The sequence below is a fragment of the Homo sapiens genome, chromosome X (genome assembly GCF_000001405.40).
Source record: "Homo sapiens chromosome X, GRCh38.p14 Primary Assembly".
Taxonomy (NCBI): domain Eukaryota; kingdom Metazoa; phylum Chordata; class Mammalia; order Primates; family Hominidae; genus Homo; species Homo sapiens.
Genome location: NC_000023.11, coordinates 85,409,316 through 85,435,499, shown reverse-complemented (window position 1 = coordinate 85,435,499; position 26,184 = coordinate 85,409,316). Strand labels below are relative to the sequence as shown.

At 36.9% G+C, this 26,184-nt stretch overlaps 1 annotated feature.

Annotated features, from left to right (window-relative positions):
* Positions 7,935-8,487: an enhancer, noted in NCBI's record as "NANOG-H3K27ac-H3K4me1 hESC enhancer chrX:84682018-84682570 (GRCh37/hg19 assembly coordinates)". NCBI's record gives its function as "activates a minimal SCP1, AML or CMV promoter by ChIP-STARR-seq in naive H9 embryonic stem cells {active_cell/tissue: H9 hESC(naive)}" and the evidence as "EXISTENCE:reporter gene assay evidence [ECO:0000049][PMID:30033119]".

Genomic DNA, 26,184 nt, shown 5'->3' with positions numbered 1-26,184 from the left:
TAGGCTGTTCTTGCGTTGCTATAAAGAAATACCTGAGACTGGGTAATTTAGAAAAGAGTTAATTGACTTGTGGTTCTGCAGACTGTACAGGAAGCATGATGGCATCTGCTTCTAGGGAGGCCTCAGGGAACTTTTACACATGGTGGAAAGGAAAACAGGAACAGGAACTTCACACGGTGAAATCAGGAGCAAAAGAGAGATGGGGGAGATGACACACACGTTTAAATGACCAGATCTCATGAGAACTCACTCATTTTCACAAGGACAAGGGGATGGTACTAAACCACCAATTAAGAATCTGTCCCCATGACCCAATCACCTCCCACAAGGCCCCACCTCCAACACTGGAGATTACAATTAAACATGAGATTTGCTCAGGGAAAACATCCAAACTATACCAAGGTATGTGGAAATAAGAGCTCTGTTTTAAATGTTTTCAATTTGAGGTGCCTATTAGACATCTAACTAGGTGTGTCAAGCTGACAATTAAATATATTAAACTGGAAATCAGAAGGGAGGTTGGGGCTATAGATATAAATTTAGGAGTCACTAATATGCAAATCATAGATAAAAATGAGACTCAGTTTGTTGGATACAGGGTGTGACAGTGGATGATTCTAAAGAAGCATCCATCTCAATGTCAAGCAGTTGTTACAAATGCAAATCAAGGAACTCCATCTGAGTTCATTTACTAACAGAAAAATCCATGCCCAGTTGAGGGAAAGGTGAATTTTATTCCCAGTGCAATAGAAAACTGTTTGAGTGTTTTAAACAAGGGAGCACTACATGATTTACATTTTAAAAAAATCTTAGGGGACAAATGTGCTGAATGGATCATAAAAAAGCAAGAAAAAAAGCAGTATGTGCTAGACAGAATTCTAAGACAGTCTCCTAAGATTGCTGGGACCACCAGACCTCTGGTGTAGATGCACCTCCTCTCAGTTATTCAATCAAACACAAACCTAGTTAATTTTGTGAAGGGATTTTGCAGATGTATTAAGGTCCCATATCAGTTGACTTTAAATAAAGAGATTATATAGGTGAAGATGATCTAATCAGGTGAGTTCTTTAACAGTAAGAGAGTTTTCTCTTACTGGTAGCCAAAGAGAAAGAGAGATTCAAAGCATCAGGCACATGGGTTAGGCACCATTGCTGGCCTGAAGATGGAGAGAGCACAGAGCAAGAAAAGTAGGTGGCCTCTAGGATTTGAGAGCATTTCTAGTGGACAGCCAGCAAGGTAATTGGGACCTCAGTCTTACAACTGCAAGGAACTGAATTCTGCTCACAACAACGATCAGCTTGAAAATTGATTTTCTGAGGTTTGGAAGTTCCTAGAACTCAGTCCAGCTGACAATTAAATTTCTTCCTTTGTGACACCCTGAGCAGAGTGATATCCTGAGCATAGAACCCAGTCACACCATGCCAGACTTCTGACTTACAGACCTGTGAGCTAATAAATGGGTGTTACATTAAGATGCTAATTTTGTGGTAATTTGTTACACAGCAATATAAAATATAGTGTATTAGTTTGTTAGGCCTGCTGTAACAAAGTGCCACAAAATGGGTGGTTTAAACAACATAAAGTTATTTTCTCAAAATTCTGGAAGCTAGAAGCTGAGATTAAGGTTTTGGCAAAAATGGTTTCTTCTGAGAACTTTCTCCTTGGTTTGTAAATGGCTACCTTTTCCCTGTGTCATCACATGATACTCCCTCTGTGTGCGTGTCCTTATCTCCTCTTCTTATAAGGATATTAGTCATTAACCTACCCTAACGACCTCATTTTCATTTACCTCTTTAAAGACCCTATCTCCAAATTCAGTCACATTTTGAGATGCTAGGCATTAGAATTTCAATGTATGAATTTTGGGGGAACACAATTCAGATCATAACACACTGAGAGACTAGGAGATTTTTGTAGTGGTTCAGATGAAAAATGATAGTGCTTAAACAAAGACAATAGAGGTGGAAATAGAGAAAATTAAATAAATTCAAGATATCTTTTTAACAAATTGCTGACAGGACTTGCCAATGGATGTATGTGGGCTGTGAAGGAAAGAGTAAAGTTATAAATGACTGGACAATCTGCCCTGAGCAATTGTAATGAAGGCAGTAGAATTTCCTGAGTTATAGAACACTAGGACAGGTATAAAATTTTTTACAGGAAACTCAAAATCTTGTTTTGGTTGTGTTCAGTTTGAGATACTTATTAGATCCAAGTGAAGATGCTAAGGAGGCAGTAGAAATGTAAATCTTGAACTCAGAAGAAAGGATAGGCTGGAGATATAAAGTTGGGGGATGTCAGCATTTTGGTGTTATTAAGGCTATGAAACCAAAAGAAGTGAGTTTTTTTCTCTTTTATAAAAAATGAAGCTTCAATGTTTTTATAAAATACATAATAAAATAACACTATATTCTCATTTGATTAGCAGGTAATCTCTTTAAAAGAGATAGGGTTAATTATTATTCTGTGTTAGAAATCAGTAATGAGATTTTTAAATAACATTCAATGGCTCTAATAAGGCATCCACAGGGTGGAAGGTTCAATGGGTATGGGTGCATGTGGAGAAGGCCAACTACCTCACTTTGAGGTAAAGTGGGTATATGGGGGTAAAGATGGAGATAGATTTCAAAGTACAAAGTACTTGAAATTAATGCTAAGAAGGTCAGACTTAATTACACAAAAGATTGGTGAGACACTAAAATGTTTGGAATAGAGGCCTAGCCAACGAAACACAGTGTTTCAGAAGATTAATTTGGTTTTGGTACAATGGATGGTTGGTAAGAATGAGGGTAAGGGGGTAAGAGTGAAGAAGAAATGAATTTAGAACTTAGAAGTAGAGAGATCAATTTAAGGTTATTATGAGAAATAATTCAGGATCATGTGAAAACAGGATTCATGCAGATTTTAAAAAGTGGTAATATATTTTTCCTGGCTAGAAAAGGGCTAGTTTAACACACAGTAAGTCCTTCAAAGAATGTTGATTTCCTTCCCATTCTCTTGGACCATATCTCCAATTATTGGATCCGGGATATACAAATTAAATACTTCCCTTAAGAGTGGAATAAGATAAGAAAGTTGAATCTCCACCGGTCTCTCATGTGTTCCGTGGTTTGCTTGATATGAGAAGGCAACTAACAGTTTTGAATTACATCTTAGTAAGGTATCCCTGAGACTTCTTTTATGGGCCCTGTGCTTCCTGAAGTAAATGTTACTTCATAATGTCATTTTCCTTATTTAGTCATCAGACTCTTCCATGAGTTAATTTAAGGTATGGTCCTTAGATATAAAGCTCACTAACGCAACTTGTTTTAAATACAGAAGTTTGAATTTAAGCACTGATGTTAAGTTTGAGATCAAACTTTGTGCTTGACTTCTAGCTATATGGCTTAAGACGTTAGTAAGTAATTTTACTCTGGCAGCCAAGCCTCTTATTGCCTGGGCACTCTCATTAAAAGTCACTAATAGTCAAGACTTCCCCCAGTGACCCTGTAAATATAAGGGCTCAATTTTTATCGCTTTATGACAACTTGGGGCAATAGCTAATGAATCTACTGTGGCTGCTATATATCCCTAGTGGAGGTTCTATTTCTCTCCCAACTGGATATGAAAGGGCTCAATCACCTTGGAAACTGTCAGCTATCAGAAAAAAAAAATCCCTCCACCATTGTTTTTCATATAAGATGTCCTATATCCAATCTGGAGAGGTAAGGACTATAAACCTTAACTGAACTATGGATTCTTCCCTTTCTTCCTTTATTGGGTCTAGAGAGAATAGAAGGCAACCATTTAAAATTGCTTGTAATTTAACTGTATCTTGTGTGTCAATACATTCTTGGTAAATCTCCATTCATTGGTAGAAAAAAAGGACCTACTTCCAACCATACCTCTGGAAACTGGAAATGTAATTAGACATAGCTGCTACCTTCAAGGAGTTTCCAGTCCACTTATATCATCAAGGCAACCTTCCGTTATAGTGGTTGTTGTTGTTTTTGAAAAGGATATTTTAAGACAATTGGTCTCTACAACATAATTGTACCTAGCATTACATTTCCTTTTGGACAATGCTGGGCACATTGCCATTTGATGAATATTAACTATTGTTATAAACGTACAAAAACATTGTCAATCTATTTTCTTTGGATATGTTGGCAAATTTTTTCAGTATTCCTATCTCCTCCTTTATATTTATATTATACTGTTATAATTATTTATCCTAGCTTTTATCAGTAAGTTGCAGACTGTTTATTACTTCCATGCAATTTGAATACTCCACACTATAGTTTCATGGTGCACTTTGTCCTTTAGTAACTGGGTCATTTTCTGTTCAGTAATACCTGTTTTGAATGATCCTAACTTACTTAGTTTTACTTCTATTCTTTCATATTTCTATTTTAAACGAAACCTTATTCATGAATCTTAATAGTACCCAATAAATATTTTTAGGCTCTATGCTTTTTTTATAAGCATCCCTCAGAACCATTTTCTTCACTGCTTTCAAGGGCTTGTATGCATATAATTTTATTTTTTAAATGTTCAGTATAATAACAGACATTAAAAATGTAGCCATAACTGGCAAATATGTTGCAACATTGCTTTAAATAGGGGGAAAGTTTCTAAAAGTTTATCAATGTGGAGATTGATTTAAATGCCTCAATATATTGAAATTTCAATATGCTGATTTAAAATTTGCTCATGGTGAATTGTTTGGTGGTGAAAACACATTATAGAATATTTGTATATGTGTGTTTATGTAAAAATAGAAAGATGATAGATAGATGATAGGTAGGTAGGTAGGTAGATAGATAGATAGATAGATAGATAGATAGATAGATAGATAGATAGAAAAAGATATAAAAACATGTAGGGGAGTACTCAGAAAACTGCTAACATTATTTACCTATGGGGAGGGAGTCTGGAAGATTTCGGTTTTTACATTAAACACTAAAGTTTGAGCTTTTATGCAAGTATGTAGTTTAATATGTGAATATTGAAATAGAAAAGAAGGAAGAAAAGAGGGAGGGAAGAAGGTAGGGAATGAGAAACACAGTTACCGCCACATCATGTGGGGATATTTGAAAATCTAATCACTAGCTTCTCAATTTAGGAGATAGTAAATAGCTTAGTCAACCAAAAACTTATTCAATGACATTCGCAAAGTATCAAACTTTTGAAAACCTCATGAACATGGCAACATAAAATGAGGTAATGTCTAGGTCCCTTTCCAACACTTGGATTTAACTATCCTACCTACCAGTACTCTGCTAGGGAGTGCTAAGGGGGATATATACAGAAGTAGAATATGACAAAGGTCTCATCCTCAATAAACCATCAAACTTTTATCAAGTACTATTTTAAAATAATTTTGCAAAAGAAAATCATAGAAGTCTGAGCTGGAAGGACGTCACCAAGATGGCAGAGAAGATACCACCTTCATTTCCCCAACAAGAAAACAAATATAGACAGCTATCCACAAACCAAAATAACCCTGAAACTGCTCAAAAGCCAAATAAATAATCTGTAATGACAGTGGATCAAAAGAATGGAGAATATCCACACAGAAATGATTGCTGGCAAGATTGGCATACTTGAGATGCCAGGAATTGGTTATGAACAAAGAAGAAAGGTAGAGGCTATCTGTATCATACATGCAGCAGGAAATACTGTGGTCCCCAGCAGCCTGCTCTGCAGTGGACACTGGCATCCTTTGCCACTGAAATAACCAACAGCCATTTTACTTGGAGAAATCCAGAGACAGAGACACAGCTATACACCACTCTCACCCTCACAAGAAGAAGCTGCTGTTGAGCTGTTTCAAGAAAGAAACCTCTACCTCTTCCAACCCTGAACATCTTCCCCAATCCTCAAACCACAGCTGTCTCACAAGTGCTGCCACCTAGTCCTGGGCTCTTTAGCTTCACTGAATCTACCCCTACCCGAAACACTGTAGCCATTACCATAGCAAGCTGAAAACATTCCAAATCTGGGAGAAAATACAAATATCCAGACATAGGAAAGTCAAAAGTCTTCAATGAGGATCAATCCAAGCAAAACTACAAGGCATATTATAACCAAACTGTAAAAATTCAAAGACAAAGAGAGGATGCTGAAAGCAGCAGTAGAAAAAAAGCAGATCACATATAAAGGATATTTAATAAGGCTAGCAGAATTTTTCTCAGTAGAAACCTTATAGTCGAGGAGAGAGTGAGATGACATATTCAAAATCCTAAAGAAAAAAAAAGCCTGCCAACAAAGAATATTTTACTCAGCAAAGCTATCCCTCAGAAATGAAGGAGGGATAAAGACTACTGGACAAACAAAAGCTGTGGGAGTTCATCACCAGCAGATCTGACCTACAAGAAATGCTAAAGAAAGTCCTTCCAACTGAAAGAAAAATATCCTAATTGGTAACACAAAAGCACATGAAAGTATAAAACTCACTAGTACAAGTAAGTACACAGTTAAATTCAGAATACTCTAATACAGTAATGTTGGTGTATAAATCATATATATATCCTATATGAAGATTAAAAACAAAATTATTAAAATAACAATAGTTACAATAATTTGTTAAAAATACATAATATGAAAAGATGTAAATGCTGATATCAATATCATAAAGCAGAGAAGGATGGAATAAAAGTATAGAGTTTTTAAATACCATCATTGTTAATTTGTTATCAGCCTTATATAGCTTGTTATAGGATATTTTATGCAAATATCAGATATTTCATGGCAAACACAAAGCAAAAATCTATAATAGATACACAAAAGACAAAAAGTAGGGTATCAAAGCATACCAATGAAGAATATCTAGTCATAAAGGAGACAGAAAAAAAGAAAAAAAGGAAGAAAGAATCAACAAAATAACTAGAAAACAATGAACAAAATGGCAGTAGTAAGTCATTACCTATTAATAATTATTTTTGATGTAAATGGATTCAATAATGCAATCTAAAGACATAGAGTGGCTGAATGGACTAAAAAAAAACAAAACATGCAACTATATATTGTCTACAGAAGACTCATGTTACGGGACACAAAGAGATTGAAAGTAAAAGGATGGACAAAGATATTCCATGGAAATAGAAGCCAAAAGAGAACTAATGAAGCTATACTTACACGACATAAAATGGACTTTAAGTCAAAAACTGTAAAAAGAGATGAAAGTCTTTATATCATTATATAATAATAAAGAAGTCAATTCAATGAGAGAATATAACAATTATGAATATATATATGTACCCAAAACTGAAGAACCTAACTACATAAGGCAAATGCTTTTGATCAAAAGGGAGAGATTGGCTGCAATACAATAGTAGCTGGGGGCTTCAACACCCCACTTTCAACAACGGACATATCATACAGACAGAAAATCAACAAAGGAACATCAGATTTACACTGCACTCTAAAAAAAAAATAAAATAAAACAAGGTAAAAAATAAACTGCACTCTAGACCAAATTGATCTAACAGACCTTTACAAAACATTCCATCAAACAGCTGCAGAATACACATTCTCCCCTACTGCATATAGAACATTTTGCAGTATAGATCACATGCTAGCTTACAAAACAAGTCTTACCAAATTTAAGAAGATTAGATAGAGATTATATCAAGTATCTTTTCTGGAAAAAAGTGGGGAGGAGCCAAGATGGCTGAATAGGAACAGCTCCCGTCTACAGCTCCCAGCGTGAGCGACGCAGAAGATGGGTGATTTCTGCATTTCCATCTGAGGTACCGGCTTCATTTCACTAGGGAGTGCCAGACAGTGGGTGCAGGTCAGTGGGTGTGCACACCATGCGTGAGCCAAAGCAGGGCGAGGCATTGCCTCACTCGGGAAGCACAAGGGGTCAGGTAGTTCCCTTTCCTAGTCAAAGAAAGGGGTGACAGACGGCACCTGGAAAATCGGGTCTCTCCCACCCGAATACTGCGCTTTTCCAACGGGCTTAAAAACTGCGCATCAGGAGATTACATCCCGCACCTGGCTCAGAGGGCCCTACGCCCACGGAATCTCGCTGATTGCTAGCACAGCAGTCTGAGATCAAACTGCAAGGCAGCAGCGAGGCTGGGGGAGGGGCGCTCGCCATTGCCCAGGCTTGCTTAGGTAAACAAAGCAGCTGGGAAGCTCCAACTGGGTGGAGACCACCACAGCTCAAGGAGGCCTGCCTGCCTCTATAGGCTTCACCTCTGGGGGCAGGGCACAGACAAACAAAAAGACAGCAGTAACCTCTGCAGACTTAAATGTCCCTGTCTGACAGCTTTGAAGAGAGCAGTGGTTCTCCCAGCACGCAGCTGGAGATCTGAGAATGGGCAGACTGCCTCCTCAAGTGGGTCCCTGACCCCTGACCCCCGAGTAGCCTAACTGGGAGGCACCCCTCAGCAGGGGCAGACTGACACCTCACAGGGCCCAGGACTCCAGCAGACCTGCAGCTGAGGGTCCTGTCTGTTAGAAGGAAAACTAACAAACAGAAAGGACATCCACACCAAAAACCCATCTGTACATCACCATCATCAAAGACCAAAAGTAGATAAAACCACAAAGATGGGGAAAAAACAGAGCAGAAAAACTGGAAACTGTAAAAAGCAGAGCGCCTCTCCTCCTCCAAAGGAACGCAGTTCCTCACCAGCAACAGAACAAAGCTGGATGGAGAATGACTTTGACGAGCGGAGAGAAGGCTTCAGACGATCAAATTACTCCGAGCTACTGGAGGACATTCAAACCAAAGGCAAAGAAGTTGAAAACTTTGAAAAAAATTTAGAAGAATGTATAACTAGAATAACCAATACAGAGAAGTGCTTAAAGGAGCTGATGGAGCTGAAAACCAAGGCTCGAGAACTACATGAAGAATGCAGAAGCCTCAGGAGCTGATGTGATCAACTAGAAGAAAGGGTATCAGCGATGGAAGATGAAATGAATGAAATGAAGTGAGAAGGGAAGTTTAGAGAAAAAAGAATAAAAAGAAATGAGCAAAGCCTTCAAGAAATATGGGACTATGTGAAAAGACCAAATCTACGTCTGATTGGTGTACCTGAAAGTGACGGGGAGAATGGAACCAAGTTGGAAAACACTCTGCAAGATATTATCCAGGAGAACTTCCCCAATCTAGCAAGGCAGGCCAACATTCAGATTCAGGAAATACAGAGAACGCCACAAAGATACTCCTCGAGAAGAGCAACTCCAAGACACATAATTGTCAGATTCACCAAAGTTGAAATGAAGGAAAAAATGTTAAGGGCAGCCAGAGAGAAAGGTCAGGTTACCCTCAAAGGGAAGCCCATCAGACTAACAGCAGATCTTTCGGCAGAAATTCTACAAGCCAGAAGAGAGTAGGGGCCAATATTCAACATTCTCAAAGAAAAGAATTTTCAAGCCAGAATTTCATATCCAGCCAAACGAAGCTTCATAAGTGAAGGAGAAATAAAATACTTTACAGACAAGCAAATGCTGAGAGATTTTGTCACCACCAGGCCTGCCATAAAAGAGCTCCTGAAGGAAGCACTAAACACGGAAAGGAACAACCGGTACCAGCCACTGCAAAATCATGCCAAAATGTAAAGACCATCGAGACTAGGAAGAAACTGCATCAACTAACGAGCAAAATAACCAGCTAACATCATAATGACAGGATCAAATTCACACATAACAATATTAACTTTAAATGTAAATGGACTAAATGCTCCAGTTAAAAGACACAGACTGGCAAATTGGATAAAGAATCAAGACCCATCAGTGTGCTGTATTCAGGAAACCCATCTCACATGCAGAGACACACATAGGCTCAAAATAAAAGGATAGAGGAAGATCTACCAAGCAAATGGAAAACAAAAAAAGGCAGGGGTTGCAATCCTAGTCTCTGATAAAACAGACTTTAAACCAACAAAGATCAAAAGAGACAAAGAAGGCCATTACATAATGGTAAAGGGATCAATTCAACAAGAAGAGCTAACTATCCTAAATATATATGCACCCAATACAGGAGCACCCAGATTCATAAAGCAAGTCCTGAGTGACCTACAAAGAGACTTAGACTCCCACACATTAATAATGGGAGACTTTAACACCCCACTGTCAACATTAGACAGATCAATGAGACAGAAAGTCAACAAGGATACCCAGGAATTGAACTCAGCTCTGCACCAAGCGGACCTAATAGACATCTACAGAACTCTCCACCCCAAGTCAACAGAATATACATTTTTTTCAGCACCACACCACACCTATTCCAAAATTGACCACATACTTGGAAGTAAAGCTCACCTCAGCAAATGTAAAAGAACAGAAATTATAACAAACTATCTCTCAGACCACAGTGCAATCAAACTAGAACTCAGGATTAAGAATCTCACTCAAAACTGCTCAACTACATGGAAACTGAACAACCTGCTCCTGAATGACTACTGGGTACATAACGAAATGAAGGCAGAAATAAAGATGTTCTTTGAAACCAACGAGAACAAAGACACAACATACCAGAATCTCTGGCATGCATTCAAAGCAGTGTGTAGAGGGAAATTTATAGCACTAAATGCCCACAAGAGAAAGCAGGAAAGATCCAAAATTGACACCCTAACATCATAATTAAAAGAACTAGAAAAGCAAGAGCAAACACATTCAAAAGCTAGCAGAAGGCAAGAAATAACTAAAATCAGAGCAGAACTGAAGGAAATAGAGACACAAAAAACCCTTCAAAAAATTAATGAATCCAGGAGCTGGTTTTTTGAAAGGATCAACAAAATTGATAAACCACTAGCAAGACTAATAAAGATAAAACGAGAGAAGAATCAAATAGATGCAGTAAAAAATGATAAAGGGGATATCACCACCGATCCCCCAGAAATACAAATTACCATCAGAGAATACTACAAACACCTCTACGCAAATAAACTAGAAAATCTAGAAGAAATGGATAAATTCTTCGACACATACACTCTCCCAAGACTAAACCAGGAAGAAGTTGAATCTCTGAATAGACCAATAAACAAGATCTGAAATTGTGGCAATAATCAATAGCTTACCAACCAAAAAGAGTCCAGGACTAGATGGATTCACAGCTGAATTCCACCAGAGGTACAAGGAGGAACTGGTACCATTCCTTCTGAAACTATTCCAATCAATAGAAAAAGAGGGAATCCTCCCTAACTCATTTTATGAGGCCAGCATCATCCTGATACCAAAGCCGGGCAGAGACACAACAAAAAAGAGAATTTTAGACCAATATCCTTGATGAACATGGATGCAAAAATTCTCAATAAAATACTGGCAAACCCAATCCAGCAGCACATCAAAAAGCTTATCCACCATGATCAAGTGGGCTTCATCCCTGGGATGCAAGGCTGGTTCAATATATGCAAATCAATAAATGTAATCCAGCATATAAACAGAACCAAAGACCAAAATCACATGATTATCTCAATAGATGCAGATAAGGCCTTTCACAAAATTCAACAACCCTTCATGCTAAAAACTCTCAATAAATTAGGTATCGATAGGACATATCTCAAAATAATAAGAGCTATCTATGACAAACCCACAGCCAATATCATACTGAATGGACAAAAACTGGAAGCATTCCCTTTGAAAACTGGCACAAGACAGGGATGCCCTCTCTCACCACTCCTATTCAACATAGTGATGGAAGTTCTGGCCGGGGCAATTAGGCAGGAGAAGGAAATAAAGGGCATTCGATTAGGAAAAGAGGAAGTCAAATTGTCCCTGTTTGCAGACGACATGATTGTATATCTAGAAAACCCCATTGTCTCAGCCCAAAATCTTCTTAAGCTGATAAGCAACTTCAGCAAAGTCTCAGGATACAAAATCAATGTACAAAAATCACAAGCATTCTTATACACCAACAACAGACAAACAGAGAGCCAAATTATGAGTGAACTCCCATTCATAATTGCTTCAAAGAAAATAAAATACCTAGGAATCCAACTTACAAGGGATGTGAAGGACCTCTTCAAGGAGAACTACAAACCACTGCTCAAGGAAATAAAAGAGGATACAAACAAATGGAAGAATATTGCATGCTCATTGGTAGGAAGAGTCAATATCGTGAAAATGGCCATACTGCCCAAGGTAATTTACAGATTCAATGCCATCCCCATCAAGCTACCAATGACTTTCTTCACAGAATTGGAAAAAACTACTTTAAAGTTCATATGGAACCAAAAAAGAGCCCGCATCGCCAAGTCAATCCTAAACCAAAAGAACAAAGCCGGAGGCATCACACTACCTGACTTCAAACTATACTACAAGGCTACAGTAACCAAAACAGCATGGTACTGTTACCAAAACAGAGATATAGATCAATGGAACAGAACAGAGCCCTCAGAAATAATGCCACTTATCTACAAGTATCTGATCTTTGACAAACCTGACAAAAAGAAGCAATGGAGAAAGGATTCCCTATTTAATAAATGGTGCTGGGAAAACTGGCTAGCCATATGTAGAAAGCTGAAACTGGATCCCTTCCTTACACCTTATACAAAAATCAATTCAGGATGGATTAAGGACTTACATGTTAGACCTAAAACCATAAAAACCCTAGAAGAAAACCTAGGCATTACCATTCAGGACATAGGCATGGGCAAGGACTTCATGTCTAAAACACCAAAAGCAATGGCAACAAAAGACAAAATTGACAAATGGGATCTAATTAAACTGAAGAGCTTCTGCACAGCAAAAGAAACTACCATCAGAGTGAACAGGCAACCTACAAAATGGGAGAAAATTTTCGCAACCTACTCATCTGACAAAGGGCTAATATCCAGAATCTACAATGAACTCAAACAAATTTACAAGAAAAAAACAAACAACCCCATCAAAAAGTGGGTGAAGGACATGAACAGACACTTCTCAAAAGAAGACATTTATGCAGCCACAAAACACATGAAAAAATGCTCACCATCACTGGCCATCAGAGAAATGCAAATCAAAACCACAATGAGATACCATCTCACACCAGTTAGAATGGCAATCAGTAAAAAGTCAGGAAACAACAGGTGCTGGAGAGGATGTGGAGAAATAGGAACACTTTTACACTGTTGTTGGGACTGTAAACTAGTTCAACCCTTGTGGAAGTCAGTGTGGCGATTCCTCAGGGATCTAGAACTGGAAATACCATTTGACCCAGTCATCCCATTACTGGATATATACCCAAAGGACTATAAATCATGCTGCTATAAAGACACATGCACACATATGTTTATTGCGGCATTATTCACAATAGCAAAGACTTGGATCCAACCCAAATGTCCAACAATGATAGACTGGATTAAGAAAATGTGGCACATATACACCATGGAATACTATGCAGCCATAAAAAATGATGAGTTCATGTCCTTTGTAGGGACATGGATGAAATTGGAAATCATCATTCTCAGTAAACTATCACAAGAACAAAAAACCAAACACCGCATATTCTCACTCATAGGTGGGAATTGAACAATGAGAACACATGGACACAGGAAGGGGAACATCACACTCTGGGAACTGTGGTGGGGTGGGGGGAGGGGGGAGGGATAGCATTGGGAGATATACCTAATGCTAGATGACGAGTTAGTGGGTGCAGCACACCAGGGTGGCACATGTATACATATGTAACTAATCTGCACATTGTGCACATGTACCCTAAAACTTAAAGTATAATAATAATAAATAAATAAATAAAAGTATCTTTTCTGAACACAATGCTATAAAACTAGACATCAGTAAAAGAAGGAACTCCAACACATAGAAATTAAAAACTTGCTCCTGAATAACCAATCGGTCAATAAGGAAATAAAAAGAGAAAATTTAAAATTTCTGGAAATGAAAAGAAAAACAACATACCAAAACCTATGGTCTACACAAAAATTACTTCTAAGAGGGAAGTTTATAGCAATACCCTCTAATAAACAGCATAATACCAGAACCAGACAAGGACACACACACAAAAGAAAACCATAGACCAATATCCTTGATGAACATTGATACAAAAATCCTCAACAAAATCCTAGCAAACCAAATTCAACAGTACATTAAAAAGAACATTTGTTATGATCAAGTGGGATTCATCCCAGAGATGCAAGAATGGTTCAACATATGCATATCAATAAATGTGATAATTTACATTAAGAGAAAAAAGGACAAAAACATATGATAATTTCAAAAACACACACACAAAAAAAGCATTTGACAACATATGACATCACTTCATCATAAAGACTCTCAACAAATTAGGCATAAAAGAAATATACCGTAACCCAATACTGTATATGAAAAACCCACAGCTAACATTATATTAGATAGAAAAAAGGCTGAATGCTTTCTCCCTAAGATCTGGAAAAAGACAAGGATACCCATTTTCACAACTTTTATTCAACATCATACTGAAAATTCCTGCCAGAGAAATTAGGCAAGAGAAAGAAATAAAAGGCATCCAAATTGGAAAGGAGGATGTCAAATTGTCCCTGTTTGTGGGTGATATAATCTCATATTTAGAAATCCCTAAAGACGTCACCAAAAAAACTCTTGGAACTAGTATACAAATGTAGCACAGTTCCAAGACACAAAATCAACATAAATTAATAGTGTTTCTATATATCAGTAGTGAACTGTATGAAAAAAATATAGGAAACAACCCCATTTTCAATAGCTATGAAAACATAAGATAAGTTGGAATAAGTTTAAGGAAGTGAAAATCTCTACACTAAAAACTATAAAAACTTGAAAATATTGATAAAAGAAATTGAAAAGGACACAAATAAATGGAAAGATATCCTTTGTCCGTGGATTGGAAGAATTGTTATTGTTAAAATATTCATACTACTCAAAGTAATCTACAGATTCAAGGCAACACCTATCAAAATACCAATGTCTTTCTTCACAGATATACAACAAACAATCCTTAAAATCATATGGACCTACAAAAGACTCTGAATAGCCAAATCAATCTTAAGCAATAAGAAAAAGCTGGAGGCATCATACTACTTGACTTCAAAATATACCACATTTCTCTGGTAACAAAAAAGGCATAGTACTGGCATAAAAATGGTCACATAAACCAAGAAACAGAATTGAGAGCACAGAAGTAAATACATCTACAGCCAAGTAACTTTCCACAAAGGGGCCAAGAACACATACCAGGGGAAAGAACGAGCACTTCAATAACTGGGGCTGAAAGAAAACTGTATATCCTCACATAGAAGAATGAGGTTAGACCCCTATCTTTTACCATATACAAAAATCAACTCAAAATGGATTAAAAACTTAAAGGTAAGAACTAAACTATGTTGCTACTAGAATATAGGGGAAATGCTTCATGGCATTGTACTGAGCAAGAAGGTAAGAGCACAAAAGCAAAAATAGGCAAGTGGGATTGCATTAAACTAGAAAACGTATGCACATCAAAAGAAAGGATCAACAGTGGAGAAAATCTCCAGAATGGAGGAAAATAATTGCAAACTATACATCTGACAAGGGGTCAATATTCATAATATATAAGGAATGCAACTCAATAGCAAAAAAAATACACACAAGAAATAAAAGATTGTTTTTAAAATGGGCAAAATACCTTAATAGATATTTTTCAAAATAACACAAACATATGGCCACTGGGTCTATAAAATAATGCTCAACTTTCCTAATCATCAGGTAAATGTAAATGAAATAGGCAATGAAATATCACCTCACTTCAGTTAGAATGGCTATTATTAGAATGACAAAATATAACAAATGATGGTGACAATGTGAAGAAAAAGGTATGCTTACACTCTCCTGGAGGGAATGTAAATTAGTATAGCCATTCTGGAAAAGAGCCTGGAGGTTTCTCAAAAAATTAAAAATAGAACTATTGAGGAGGCAGGGCAAGATGACCAAATAGAAGCCTCCAGAGATTCCCCCCTGCAACAGGAACACCAAATGGAACAACTATTTACACAAAAAAAAAGCCTTCATAAGAATAAAAAATCAGGTGAGTAATCATAATACCTAAGGAAAGAGACACTGGACAGGTTAGGAAAGAGTTATGAATCACACCACCTCTCCTCCATATCCTGACAGCAGCCACCTGGAGAGGAGAGAGAATGTGTGTACTTGCAGGAAGGACAGTGTAGTTATTTTGAGACTTTGCATTGAAACTCAGTGGTACCCTGTTACAGCAGAAAGCAACATCAGGCAGAACTCAACTGGAGTCCATGGAGGAAACATTTATACTATCCCTAGCCAGAGGTAAATCATCCATCAAATACTTGTAATCTGAGTTCCAGCAAGCCCCACTACTGCAGGCTAAACTGCTCTGGGTTCCTAAATAAACTAGAAAGGCAGTCTAGGCCACAAGGACTGCAATTTCTGGGTAAGCCCTGGTGCTATGCTGGGCTTGGAGCCAGTGGACTTGGGGTGCATACAACCTTGTGAGACACCAGCCAGGGTTGCTACGAGGCTGCTTATGTTATCCCTTCTCCAATCCCAGGCATCACAGCTCACAACTCCAGGAGAAAGTCCTTCCTTCTGCTTGAAGAGAAGAGAGGGGAGAGTAAAGAACACTTTGTCTTGCGAAGTGGATGCCACTTCAGCCTCAGTAGAATAGGGCACCCGGCTGAGTTCTGAGACCCCCATTTCAGGCCATAGCTCCTGGGCAAAATGTATAGACAAACTCTGGGCCAGAAAGGAAAACACTGCCTTGAAGGGAAGAACTTAGTCCTGGAAGGATTTATTATCTGACTAAAGAGCCCTTCTATACTAAATAATCAGCAGTGATAGACAGGCAATACTCATTTTTGGCCTCGAGTGAGATTCAGAGTCATCCTGACTATAGGGGTGACTGAGCACATTCACAGCTATGGTGGCTATGAGGAGTCAGTTCTTCTGTTTGATTAAACAAGAGGGAAGAGTAAGGGGGACTTTGTCTTGCAGTTTGGGTATCAGTTTGGCAACAGTGGGCTAGAGCACCAAGCAGGTTCCTGGGGCCCCTGATTCCAGGCTGCCTTGGTTCCTTGGTGGTATTTCTGGAACTGCTTGGAGCCAGAGGGAAACCTACTACCCTGAAGGGAGAAATCCAGGCCTGGCAGCATTCACTGCAAGCTGACTGAAGAGCCCTTGGGCCTAGAGTGAAAACTGGTAGTAGCCAGGCAGTATTCACCAAATGCCTGGGGCCAGTGGTAGCCGCAAGGTGAAACTCTTCTGCTCGAGGACAGGGAGGGATGAGTGGGAAATACTTTGTTTTGTGGCCAAGATGTCAGCTCAGCTGTAGGAGAATAGAGCACCAGGTAGATTCCTAAGGTCCCCAACTTCAGAAACTGACTCCTGGATGGCATCTCTGGACCAGCCTGGGACTGGGGAGAACTCACCACTCTGAAAGGAAGAAAACAAGTCTGGCTAAATTCACCACCTGATGGTTGTAGAGCCCTTGGGCCTTGAATGAATATAGGTAGTAGCCAGGCAGTGAACAGCAGGGCCTTGGGTGCAACCCAGTGCTGTGCTGCTGGCTTTGGGTCTGATCCAGCACAGTCTCACTGGTGGAGGCTATGAGGGTACTTATTTCATTCCTCCCTGAATACCAGCACACACACACACACACACACACACACACACACACACACACACACACAGTTAGTATGGGGAAAAGTCAGGAGAGAGAACAAGAGTCTCTGCCTGGTAATCCAGAGAATCCTTCAGGATCTTACACAAGACCACCAAGATGGTAATTCTGTGAGTCTCCAGGAGCCACCGCTTTACTGGGCTTGGGGTGCCCCTAATGCAGATATGGTTGCAGTGACCACAGACTTAAATCATATCACCCAAGTTCCTTTGAATACCTAGAAAACCTTCCCAAAAAGGAAGGTTGCAAATGCCCAGAATGCGAAGACTACAATATATAGCTAACACTTCAATTCTCAGAAACTGTTGCATGTCTGCAACCATTCAGACCATCCGGGAAAACATGACCTCACCAAACAAGCTAAATAAAGCATCAGAAACCAATCCCAGGGAACCAGAGATATCTGATATTTTAGACAGATAATTCAAAATAGCTGTTTTGAGGGAGCACATTCTAAATTCAAATTAGCACATAGAAGGAATTTAGAACCCTATCAGCTAAATTTAACAAAGAGATTGAAATGATTAAAAAGAATAAAGCAGAAATTCTGGAGTTGAAAAATGTAACTGACATACCTAAAGAATGCATTAGTCTCTTAACAGCAGAATTGATCTGGCAGAAGAAAGAATTAGTGAGCTTGAACACAGTCTATTTGAAACTACACAGAGGAGACAAAAGATAAAAGAATGAGGCATGCCTACAAGATGTAGAAAATGACCTCAAAATGGCAAATATAAGAGTTATTGGCCTTAAAGAGGAAGTAGAGAGATCAGAGAAAAAATACATTGGAGCTCCAATAAGTCTGGCAGCAGACTTTTCAGTGGAAACCTGAAAGTCCAGGAGAGAGTGACATGACATATTTAAAGGGCTGAAGGAATTTAACTTCTATCCTAGAATAGTATATCCAGCAAAAGTATGCATCAAACATAAAGGAGAAATATTTTCCCAGAGAAACAAAAGCTGAGGGAGTTCGTCATTATGAAACCTGTCCCACGAGAAATGCTGAAGGGAGTTTTTCAATCTAAAAGAAAATGACACTAAAAAGCAAAAACAAAATTATCTGATGGTACAAAATTTACTGGCAATAGAAACTACAAAGAAAATTACAGAACACTGTAATTGTGGTGGGCAAACTACTCATACCTTTAGTAGAAAGACTAAAAGATGAACTGACAAATAATAATAACTCCAACTTTTCAAGACATAAATGATATAATAAGATATAAATAGAAACAACAATTGGTTAAAAATGGGAAGAAAAAATCTAGAGTTTTATTAGTTTTATCTTAGTTTGTTTTTAGTTTTGTTTATGCAATCAGTGTTAAGTTGTTTAACAGTGGTTTACAAGATAGTATTTGCAAGCCTCATGATAATCCAAAATAATAAATCAGGCAACATATACACACAAAAAAAAGCAAGAAATTAAAACATTTAATGAGAGAATATCACCTTCATTGAAAGGAAGACAGAAAAGAAGAAAGAGAAGATGACAAAAAATATAAAACAACAAAATGGCAAGAGTAAGTCCTTATCAATGGTGAGATGAAATGTAAATGGACTATGCTCTCCCATCAAAAGACATGCAATAGCTGAATAAATAAAAAACAAAACTAATGATCTGTGTCCTACAAGAAACACACTTCAACTATAAAGACACAAATAGACTGAAATTTTAAAAAGGGAAAAAGATGTATCATGCCAATGGAAAGCAAAAAAAAAAAAGTGCAGTAGCTAACCTTATAACAAAATAGATTTTAAGATAAAATTTATGAAAATGGACAAAAAAGGTCATATAATGACAAAGGGATCACTTCTGGGAGAGGATATAACAATTGTAAATGTAAATGCACTCAACATTGTAGCAACCAATTATATTAAGCAAATATTATTACAGCTAAAGAGAGAGATAGACCCAAAAGATAATAGCAGGAGAATTCAATGTTCCACTTTTAACATGGGGCAGATCAACAGACAAAAAAATTAAGAAAGAAATATCGTATTTACTCTGCACTATGGACCAAGTGAACCTAATAGATATTTACAGAACACACATGCTCAACATATGGATCATTCTCAAAGATTGACCATATGTTAGGCCCAAAGAAGGTCTTTAAAAATTCCTTACACCTTACACAAAAATTGATTCAAGATGGACTAAAGACTTAAATGTAAGACCTAAAACCATAAAAACCGTAGAAGAAAACCTAGGCATTACCATTCAGGACATAGGCATGGGCAAAGACTTCATGTCTAAAACACCAAAAGCAATGGCAACAAGAGCCAAAATTGACAAATGGGATATAATTAAACTAAAGAATTTCTGCACAACAAAAGAAACTGTCATCAGAGTGAGAAGGCAACCTACAGAATGGGAGAAAATTTTTGCAATCTAGCCATCTGACAAAGGGCTAATATTCAGAATCTACAAAGAATTTAATTAAACAAATTTACAAGAAAAAACAAACAACCCCATCAAAAAGTGGGCAAAGGATGTGAACAGACACTTCTCAAAAGAAGACATTTATTCAGCCAACAGACATATTCAAAAATGCTCATCATTGCTGGTCATTAGAGAAATGCAAATCAAAACCACAATAAGATACCATCTCACGCCAGTTAGAATGGCGATCATTAAAAAGTCAGGGAACAATAGATGCTGGAGAGGATGTGGAGAAATAGGAATGCTTTTACATTGTTGGTGGGAGTGTAAATTAATTCAACCATCGTGGAAGACAGTGTGGTGATTCCTCAAGGATCTAGAACTAGAAATACCACTTGACCCAGCCATCCCATTACTGGGTATATACCCAAAGGATTATAAATCATGCTACTATAAAGACACATGCACATGTATGTTTATTGCAGCACTATTCACAATAGCAAAGACTTGGAACCAATCGAAATGTCCATCCATAATAGACTGGATAAAGAAAATGTGGCACATATACACCATGGAATACTATGCAGCCATAAAGTGGATGAGTTTATGTCCTTTGCAGGGACATGAATGAAGCTGGAAACCATCATTCTCAGCAAACTATCACAAGGACAGAAAACCAAACACCGCATATTCTCCCTCATAAGTGGGAATTGAACAATGAGAACACATGGACACAGGGAGGGGAACAACCCACACTGGGGCCTCTTGGGGGTGGGGTGCTAAGGGAGGGATAGTATTGGGAGAAATACCTAATTTAAATGAGTTGATGGTTGCAGCAAACCAACATGGCACATGTATATCTATGTAACAAACCTGCAGGTTATGCACATGTACCCTAGAACTTAAAGTATAATAGTAATTAAAAATTCAAAAAAATGTACTTATAGCAGGTATCTTATCTGATCATAATGAGATAAATCTAGAAGTCAATAACAAGAGGAATATTGGAAACTATACAAACACACAGATATAAAACAGTATGCTCCCAAATGACCAGTGAGGAAATGAAGAAACTAAGAAAGAAATTTAAAAATTTCTTGAAACCTTTGAAAATGAAAACACAACAAACAAAACCTATGGGATACAGAAAAGGATTACTAAGAGGAACATTCATAGCAATAAGTACCTACACAAAAAAAAATGGGAAAACTTGAAATAAGTACCTAATGATACCTCTTAAGAAACTAGAAAAGCAAGAGAAAACCAAACCCCAAATTAGTAGAAGAAAACAAATAATAAAGATCAGAACAAAAGTAAATGAAATAGAAAGAAATAAAGCAATATGAAAGAGCAACAAAATGAAAAGTTGGGTTTTTGAAATGATAAACAAAAGCTACAAATCTTTAGCCAGACTAACTACAAAAGAAACAGAAGACCTAAATAAATATAATCAGAAATGAAAAAGGGCACATTACAACTGATACCAAAGAAATTCAAAGGACCATTAAAGGCTACTATGAGCAATTATGCCAAAAAATAAAAAGCCTAGAAGAAGTAAACTTTTAGAAACATACACTTTACCAAGATTGAACCATGAAGAAATCAAAAACCTGACCAGAGCAATAGCAAGTAATGAAATGAAACTAATTAAAAAAAAGTATCCCACCAGTGAAAAGTCCAGGACCTGATGGGTTCACTACTGAATTTTACCAAACATTTAAAGAAGAACTAATACCAATCCTACTCAAACTATTCCAAAAAATAGAGGAGGGTATACTTCCAAATTCATTCTATGAGGCCAGTATTACCCTGATACCAAAAAACAAAGACTCCTTAAAAAACAAAACAAAATTATATGTCAAAAATCCCTAATGAACATTAATGCAAAATTCCCCAACAAAATACTGGCAAACCAGATTCAACAACATATTAGGGAGATAATTTATTATGACCAAGTAAGATTTATGCCAGGGACATAAGGATGGTCAAACATATGCAAATGAATCAATGTGATATATCATTTCAACAGAAAGAAAGACAAAAGCCATGTGATTATTGTAATTGATGCTGATAAAGAATTTGATAAAATTCAACATCTCTTTATAATAAAAACCCTCAAAGAAACTGGGTACAGAAGGAACATACCTCAACACACTTAAATCCATAAACAGCCCCACAGATAGTATCATATTGAATGGGAAAAAATGGAAGATTTTCCTCTAAGATCTGGAACATAACATGTATGCCCCATTTTACTACTGTCATTGAAAATCATACTGAAAGTCTAAACTAGAGCAATCAGACAAGAGAAAGAAAATACATCTAAACTGGAAAGCAAGAAGTCAAATTATCCTTGTTTGCAGATGCTCTTATATTTGAAAATAAAAACAACCCTAAAGACTCCACTAAAAACGGTTAGAACTGACAAATTCAGTAATGTGGCAGGATACAAAATCAACATACAAAAGTCAGTACTATCTCTATATGCCAACATTAAACAATCTGAAAAGGAAATCGAAAAAGTAATCCCATTCACAATAGCTACAAAGAAAATAAAATACCAAGGTATTAACTTAACCAAAGAACTGAAAGATCTCTACAATGAAAACTATAGAACATTCATGTAAGAAATAGAAGAGGACACAAAGAATGGGAAGATATTCAACAATATTGAAGAATCAATGTTGTTAAAATGTCCATACTACTTAAAGCAATCTACAGAGTCAATGTAATCTCTGTCAAAATGATACAAATGACAGTCTTCACAGAAATAAAAAAAAAATCTAAAATGTATATGGAACCACAGAAGGCATAAAATAACCAAAGCTATCCTGAGCAAACATAATAAAATCAGAGGAATCACATTACCTGACTTCAAATTATACTATGGAGCCATAGTAACCAAAACAGCATGGTCTTGGCACAAAAACAGACACATAGACCAAAGGAATAGAATAGAGAACCCAGAAATAAATCCACACATCTACAGTAAACTCATTATTGAGAAAAGTGCCAGGAACATGTATTGGGGAAAGTCTCTTTAATAAATGATGCTAGGAAACTGAATATCCATATGCAGAAAAATAAAACTTGACCCCTATCTCTAGCCATATAAAAGTCAAATAAAAATGGACTAAATACTTAAATCTAAAACTTCAAACTATGATATTCCTAAAATAAAATATTGGGGGAACTCTCCAGGGCACTGATATGGGAAAATATTTCTTGAATAATACCCCAGAAGCACAGGCAATCAAAGCAAAATGGACAAATGAAATTATATCAAGTTAGAAAGCTTCTGCATAGCAAAGGAAACAATCTACAAAGTGAAGTCGTAACTCACAGGATGGGAGAAAATATTTGCAAACTATCCATATGATGAGTGATTACTAGCCAGAATATATAAGAAGCTCAAACAACTTAATAGGAATAAATCTAATAATCTGATTTAAAAATGGGAAATAGTTCTTAATAGACATTTCTAAAATGAAGAAATACAAATGGCAAAACAGGTATAAGAAAAGGTGTTCAACATTAATAAGCATCAGAGAAATGCAAATCAAAACTACAATGAACTATTATCCCACCCCAGTCAGAATGGCTTATATCCAAAAGACAGGTAGTAACAAATGCCAGCAAGGATAAGGGAGCCCTCATACACTCTTAGTGGCAATGTAAATTAGTACAACTCCTTGGAGAATGTTTAGGGGTTCTTCACAAAACTACATATGTAACTACCACATGAACGAGTAATCAAATTGATAGATTTATATCTGGAAGAAAGGGAATCAGTATATAGAAGTGATATCTGCACTTCCACATTTATTGCAGCACTGCTCACAATAGCCAAGATTTGGAAGCAACCTACGTGTCCACCACAGATGAATGTATAAAGAAAATGTGGTACATATACATACTGAAGTACTATTAAGTAATAGAAATAATTAGATCCCTTTATTTGAAACAACATAGATGGAACTGGAGGACATTTTGTTAAATGAAATAATTCAGGCAAAGGAAGACAAATTTTGCATGTTTTCACTTATTTGTGGGAGCCGAAAGTAAAACTACCAATCTTACGGAGACTGTGAGTAGAAAGATGTTTACCTGAGGCTGAAAATAGTCCGGGGGTTGAGGAAATAGGGATTGTTAATGGGTGGAAAAATATTGTTAGAATGAATAAGATCTAGTACAACAGGGTGACTACAATCAACAATAATTTATTGTCCACTGTAAAAAAATTAGAAGAGTATAATTAGATTGCTTGTAACACAAAGAAAAGATAAATGCCTGAAGTGATGGGTACCCCATGTACCTTGAAATATGATTACTATACATTGTATGCTTGTATCAAAATATCTCATATACCCTATAAACGTATACACCTATTATGTACCCACAATATTTTTTGTAAATAGCCAATAAAAATGTTGAGGCTCTGTGAAAATATATGCCTACCACATGATCCATCATTCTCACTATTGGGTATATATTTTTAAAAAATGGAATCAGTGTGTTGATATCTGCACTATCATGTTAATTGCAGCATTGTTCACACTAGTCAAGATATAGGATCAACCTCATGTCCATCAACGGATCAATAGATAAAAAATGGTATACATACAGAAAGGAATACTATTCAGGCAAAAAAAAGTATTCTGTCATTTTGACAACATTGATAATCCTGGAGGACATCATATTAAGTGAAATAAGCCAGGCAGAGAAATAGAGAAATATAAATAACACCTGATCTCTGATCTCACTCATATGTGGAATCTAAACAAGCTGATCTTGTAGAAGTAGAAAGTATAGCAGCAGTGCTTACCAGAGAATGGGGAGGGCAAAAGGGAGGGGACAATGAAGAGTATTGGTTCTGGGGTATAAGTTACATTTAGAGGAATACATTCTGGTGTCCTATTGCACAATAGGGTGACTATAGTCTAAAATGACTATACATAGTAATGTACTGTATATTTAAAAATAGCCAGAAGAGAGAATTTTAAATGTTCTCATCACAAATAAATGATAAATGTTTGAGGTGATGGATATACTAATTACCCTGATTGGATCATTGCACAATGTTTGAGGTGATGGATATACTAATTATCCTGATTTGATCATTGCACAACGTATACATGTATTGAAACATCACAATGTGCTCTATAAATAGGTTTAGTTATTATATTTCAATTAAAAATTATTTAAAGGGTGTGGCTGTGTTTTAGTACAATTTTGTAAAAATAAATAATGGGTTGGATTTGGTCAATGAGTTGCAGTTTGCAAAATCCTGCTTGAATCGATCAATGTATGAATTATACTGCTTGCTTTTTAAAATGTTAAATCAGTCTTGCATTCCTGGGATTAACCAAACTTGGTTATAAAGCATTATGTTGTTATAACTGTTTAATTTAGACCAAGCATGGTGGCTCACGCCTGTAATCTTTGAGTTCAGGAGTTTGAGATGAGCCTGGGCAACATGGTGAAACCCTGTCTCTACCAAAAACACAAAAAATTAGCCTGATTTGTTGGTGTGCACCTATAGTCCCAGCTACTCGGGGGGCTGTGCTGGAAGGGTCGCTTGAGCCCAGGAAGTCGAGGCTGCAGTGAGCCGAGATCGCACCACTGCACTCCAGCCTGGGTGACAAAGTGAGACCCTGTCTCAAAAAAAAAAAAAAAAAAGTTTCATTTAGATTTCTGATTTTTGACTTAGGATTTTTTATCTATGTGGAAGTATGAACTTGGCCTATAAGATTTTTTTTGCCATACTGCCTTTTTCAGATTATTAAATTATGTTATTTTACTCTCTTAAAATGAGTGGCTGAAAAGATATACTCTTCCTATCTTCTAAAAAAAAAACTTCCATATTATTTAAATTATGTCTTTTTTGATGTCTGGTAGAACTTGCTATTGAAACTATTGTGACCTGAAATTTTTTTTGTGGATATAATGTTGTATAAAAAATTCAGAATCAAATTCTTCAGTGGTCAAATTTTCCATTTTTTCTTGAGTCAGTAGAAGTTGTTGAAGGGGGTGGATCAAGATGGCAGAATAGAAGCCTCTATCAATCATCCCTCCTGCAAGGACATCAAGTTACTAACTATCTACACAGAAAAAAACACCTTCATAAGTACCAAAAATCAGGCAAGCACTCATAGTACCTCGCTGTAACTTCATATCCCTGAAAGAGGCACTGGAAAAATAGAAAAAGAACAGTCTTGAATC